This window comes from Homo sapiens, chromosome 5, assembly GCF_000001405.40.
Source record: "Homo sapiens chromosome 5, GRCh38.p14 Primary Assembly".
In the NCBI taxonomy this organism is placed as follows: Eukaryota; Metazoa; Chordata; class Mammalia; order Primates; family Hominidae; genus Homo; species Homo sapiens.
Genome location: NC_000005.10, coordinates 52,644,024 through 52,649,936, shown reverse-complemented (window position 1 = coordinate 52,649,936; position 5,913 = coordinate 52,644,024). Strand labels below are relative to the sequence as shown.

General features: G+C 36.6%; 1 annotated feature.

Annotated features, from left to right (window-relative positions):
- Positions 4,582-4,822: a silencer, noted in NCBI's record as "fragment chr5:51940949-51941189 (GRCh37/hg19 assembly coordinates)". NCBI's record gives its function as "represses an EF-1alpha promoter that drives an FKBP-Casp9 reporter gene in an ReSE screen in HepG2 liver carcinoma cells {active_cell/tissue: HepG2}" and the evidence as "EXISTENCE:reporter gene assay evidence [ECO:0000049][PMID:32094911]".

Sequence of the window (5,913 nt, the reverse complement as noted above, 5' to 3'; positions counted from 1 at the left end):
CTGTAGCTTATAGACCCTAGATATGAAAACGTAAACCACCAAAAACATACATGGCCTTAGACTTATCTTTCAGAAATGATCCAAAGAGATTTAGAAATTATGGAGATCATTCACATTGGTATAAATTAGTTCTACTTTAAAAACTAAACTGGTAATAAATTAGATAGGATCTGTAGAACACAGTTTTTCTAGGGAATCAACTCAAATGTAACAAGAAATTACCAAGGAAGTATAGAATGAGAATAGCCAATTTTCTAACCACATAATACAAGGTTTTTTTTTTTTATCCAATATACACGAAGTAGTCATTTTGTCATTTTTAGACAAATTCCTACGAAATAAAAATTAAGTGATAGTTCTGCTATATTTGACTCTTTTCCTAGAATAGAGTTTCACCTTAAATTTTGGTTTAATATCTGGACCACTTTTACTTATATGATAACATTTTCTTGCGAAGATAATTTCAACATTTTGACTTTGTCTTCCTAATGCTTTTTGTAGGTAGTAAGGTAATCGAGGGAGAGAGGGTAATGTGTGAAACAAGTTACTATTATTTCTTCTTCTCTATTTCATATACTTCCTCTATTTAACAAGATACTTTGCCTTCCTGTGGCTCAGGGTCCCTATATATAAACTGTTCTTTATAATATTATCCACCTTATTGGTTTGTTGTGAGGATGAAATGAGTATGTATATTTGCAGCACTTAAAAATGCTTAGAATAGTATTCATGGTTTTTGTGTTTCTATACATTCTACAAGCGGAGTCACCGACTGCCTTTTCTTTAGACTCTCTTCACGAATATTTGGGTAGAGCATAGCCTTAAAATATAGAGACAGTGTCTCCCTCTAGAAGAGATGGCAGGTTTACATACCATCCAGTATAATGAAAATAATATGTTATTCAGAGTAAAGATCAGACTGGTTTGTTAACTTCCCATGATAAAAGATCATTATAAAAAATCATTCCCATATAAAAGGCTTTTGTTCTCCTGTAATACAACTCACTCTGTGTTCAGGCTGACTTGTCCCTCTTTGTGTCACCCTGTGGGAACTGAGGTTCAGGGAACTGGTGAAAATGCTGATGTTCTGGGTACTGTCGTTGCTGTGGGTAAGAAATACTTTTGTCTCTGATTCACGAAACTTGTGTTTTCTGCAGTTTTCTTGATACTGTAACAGGGTAACTTCTTAGCTTGAAGTAGAGTAAAAGCTCAAACTCTTCACAGTTCTTAACAAAGTGTTTGGCACATAGCAAGTGCTAAATGTGTTATTTATTGTTGTTATTATCATCATCATCATTCTTTTCACAAAATTGAATTCTTTGACTAAGAGGGAACTATTAAAATATATTGCGAGTACTTCTGTTTATAATGGAGACTAGGCACCAATTCCAACTGCAAATCCAACTGCACACAGAAATACAAAGCTTACAATAATGCACAATGCTAACCAATTAGCAAAATCTATTATTTATACATTGAAAATCAATATAAAAAATAAAAGCAAAAATCAGATTCCTCAGAAACAAGAAACAGTAGCAAGACAGACTATATGCATTACAGTTACAAGCATAAATTTTAACTAACTTATTAAAAGACAACCCAGATAGAGTTCAAAACAAAAAAAATTTATAATGTGTACAGGAACATATCCAAGAGAGAATAGCAAAACAGAAATAATGAGTATAAATTATAAAACAAAAAGAAAAATAATGTAGGGCAATCAGACAAATTTTAAACAATGTAGAAATCAATGAATAAACATTATATATTAAAATAGGCATATGTTTTATGAACACTGTTATGAATTGAATGTTTGTGTCTCCCCTAAATGTATACGCTGGAGCTTTGATTCACAGTGGGAATAGCATTTGGAGGTGAGATCTTTGGAAGGTGATTAAGTCATGGGGGTAGAGCATTCATGAAGCAATTAGCGCCTATATAAGAAAAGTGAGAGAAATGACCTCTCCCTCTCTATCACTTAAAGGGACAGCAAGAAGGTGCCTATTGGTAAACCAGGAAGAAGGCCCTTACCAGACACCAAATATACTGGCATCTTGATTTTGAATTTCACAGCATCCAGAACTGTGAGAAAAAAAAATTGTTTAAATCACCCAGGCTATAGTATTTTGTTGTAGTATCCTGAGCAGACTCAGACAAACCATTGTATAATAAAAAATATTTATTAATTTAGTCACTTACTCAACAAATAAAGAGTACGGGGAAATCAGTTGAGAGGCCATTGCTCTCAGTCAGTTGGCAGATGTTGGGAGGTTAGTGATGCCAATGGAGAATGATGAATAGATTTGGCATATATTTATTTAACAAAGTGAAATCAGTGTGTAAGTTGGTAGGTTTATGGACGAGGGCCAAAAATGATTTCAAGGTTTTATAATCAATTCATTGATATTGATGTCGTTCTTTGAGTTAGGAAACACTGGGAGAATATGCCAGGTTAGAAAAATAAATTTTATAATAACAAAATATGTAATACAAAAATAGAAAAAATACAAATTCAGAGACTAATTGACTGAAATGTGTCACTGGAGACTTTATAGCAATCATCCATTTATCAAGATATTAGCTGAATGTTTAAATAATTATAAATAAAATAATTATTATTTGTGATTAATACATAAACATGTATGTATGTATGGTATATACACATAAATACCACAAAGAGATGATGAATTATTTGTGTAAGTTCATAGGGACATTTTCAAAATCTCATATTATTATTTCCAGTTATTGCCAGATGCAGTAATAACTGAATAAGGAGTTAGAGTAACATAATTTATAATATCGTGTGTTTGTGCATGTATATACTGTGAAACAAGAACTGTATTATCTTTACATGTCATTAAAACATTTCCAAAAATAGTTGTCATAATTGGCCACAATGAAATCTCAATAAATTTAAAAAGACAAAATTATAGAAATCACACAATGTAACAAAATTAAAAACTAGTGACAAATTTGAACAACAAATCAAAACCAAATAAAAGTTTTAAAATAGAGTCTCACAGTTAACTATTGAGCTAAGAAAAATCTAAAAATACTATTTCAAAATATTTATATTGCAAATTCTGAACATTTCATGTCAAAACTTAGAGGAATCATTAAAGATACACTCAAGACAAATTTTAAAAAGGGGTAAAGAAATATATTGAAAATAAGAATGGAAAAAAGAAAGAAAATGAATAAAGGAAAAAAGAAAAGAAGGAAGATAAGTGGGAGGGATGGAACAAAGGAAGGAGAGAGATAGAAGGAGAAAGGCAAAAAGAAGGGAGAATAAGAGGAAAAAAGGAAGGGAGGAAGGCAAATGACTCAACTCAAAACCAAATAAATAATTGGAGACAGCTTAAGCAGACAAGTAGTAAACATAAAAGCAGAACATTATGTATTAGTGGCAGGAAACACACACACACACAAACACACACACACACAGAATTGTAAGTACACCCAAGGTCTATTTTTTTAAATAAAACCACAAAACCACGTTTAATTTCTTGTTTTTCAAATCCAGTTGGGAGTGGTATAAATCACAAAATTAAGAATGAGCTAATGGAGATAATATATGTGGAAGTCATAGAAACATTTTAAGAAAATAATATTTACAAACTTCTGCTAATAAATTTGAAAATGCCAATGAAGAAGTAATGTTTTTCTGACAAATATAAACTCTGAATCTTTATTCACAAAGAAAAGCCTGAAAATTAATTGTATCAGTCTGTTTTCACACAGCTGTAAAGATACTATGTGAGACTGGGTAATTTATAAAGGAAGAGGTTTAACTGACTCAGTTCCACACAGCTGAGGAGACCTCAGGAAACTTACAATCATGGGGGAAAGTGAAGGGGAAACAAGGCACGTCTTACATGGAGGCAGGAGAAAGAAAGGGAGAAGGGGGATGGGCCAGACACTTATCAAACAGCCAGATCTTGTGCAAACTCACTATCATGATAACAGCATGGGGGAAACTGCTTCCATGATCCAATCATCTCCCACCAGGTCCCTCCCTTGACATGTGGGGACCACAATTTGAGATGAGATTTGGTTGGGGACACAGAGCCAAATTGATATAATTCTGCTCCAACCCCTCTCAAATCTCATGTCCCTTTCACATTTCAAAATGAATCATGCCTTCCCAACAGTCCCCCAAAGTCTTAACTCTTTCCAGCATTAACCCCAAAGTCCGAGTCCAAAGGCCCATCTGAGATAAGTCAAGTTCCTTCTGCCTATCAGCCTGTAAAATCAAAAGCAAGTTCCTTACTTCCAAGATACAATGGGGATACAGGCATTGGATACATGTCCCCATTCCAAATGGGAGAAATTGGCCAAAATAAAGGGGTCACAGGCCCCATGCAAGTCTGAAACCTGGCCAGGCAGTCACTAAATCTTAAAGCTCCAAAATCTCATTTGACTCCATGTCTCACATCCAGGGCACACTGATGAAAGGGGTGGGCTCCCAGGGCCTTGGGCAGTTTCACCCCTGTGGCTCTGCAGGGTATGGTCTCTGTGGCTTTCATGAGCTGGCATTGAGTTCCTGAGGTGCAAGCTGTTGGTGGATCTACCATTCTAGGGTCTGGAAGATGGTGGCCTTCTTCTCACAGCTCCACTAGCTAGTGCCTCAATGGGGACTCTGTGTGGGGGCTCCAACCCCACATTTTCTTTCCATACTGCTCTAGCAGAGGTTCTCCATGAGGGCTCTGTCCCTGTGCAGACTTCTGCTTGGACATCCAGGCTTTTTCATACATCCTCTAAAATCTAGGTGGAGGTTCCCAAAGTTCAACTCTTATCTTCTCCATAACTGCAGGCCCAACACCACATGGAAGTCACCAAGACTTGGGGCTTTCACCCTCTGAAGCAATGGCCCCAGCTGTACTTTGGCCCCTTTTAGCCATGGCTGGAGCTGGAGTGGCTGGGAAGCAGGGTGCCATGTCACAGGGCTGCACAGAGCAGTGGAGACCTGGGCCTGGCCTATGAAACCATTTTTTTCCTCCTAGGCCTCCAGGCCTGTGAGGTGAGTGGCTACTGTGAAGATCACTGATATGCCCTGGAGATATTTTTCCCCATTGTCTTTGCTATTAACATTTGGCTCCTCATTACTTATGCAAATTTCTGCAGCTGGTTTGAATTTCTTCTCAGAAAATGGGCTTTTCTTTTCCATCATATGGTCAGGCTGCAAAATTTCCAAACCTTTATGCTCTGCTTCCTTTTTAAACGTAAGTTCTAATTTTAAACCATCTCTTTGTGAATGCATTTAACTGAGCACTTTCAGAATAAGCCTGGTTACCTCTTGAATACTTTGCTGCTTAGAAATTTCTTCCACTAGGTACCCTAAAATATCTCTCTCAAGTTCAAAGTCCCCAGATGTCTAGGGCAGGGCAAAATGCCACCAGTCTCTGTTAAACCATAGCAAGAATGACCTTTGCTCCAATTCCCAGTAAGTTCCTCATCTCCATCTGAGACCACCTCAGCCTGGACTTTATTGTCCATATCACTATCAGCATTTTGGTCAAAACCATTCAACAAGTCTCTAGGAAGTTCTAAACTTTCCCAAATTTTCCTGTCTTCCGAACTGTTCCAACCTCTACGTGTTACCCAGTTCCAAAGTTGCTTCCACATTTTCAGATTATCTTTCTAGCAGTACTCCACTCTTGGTACAAATTCTATGTATCAGTCCATTTTCACACTGCTGTAACGATACTGAGACTGGTTAATTTATAAAGGAAAGAAGTTTAACTCACAGTTCTGCATGGCTGGGGAGACCTCAGGAAACTTACAGTCATGGCAGAAGGTGAAGGGGAAGCAAGGCACCTTCTTCACAAGGTGACAGAAAGGAGAAGTGCTGAATGAAAGGGAAAGGGCTCCTTATAAAACCATCAGATCTCGTGAGAACTCACTCACTATCAT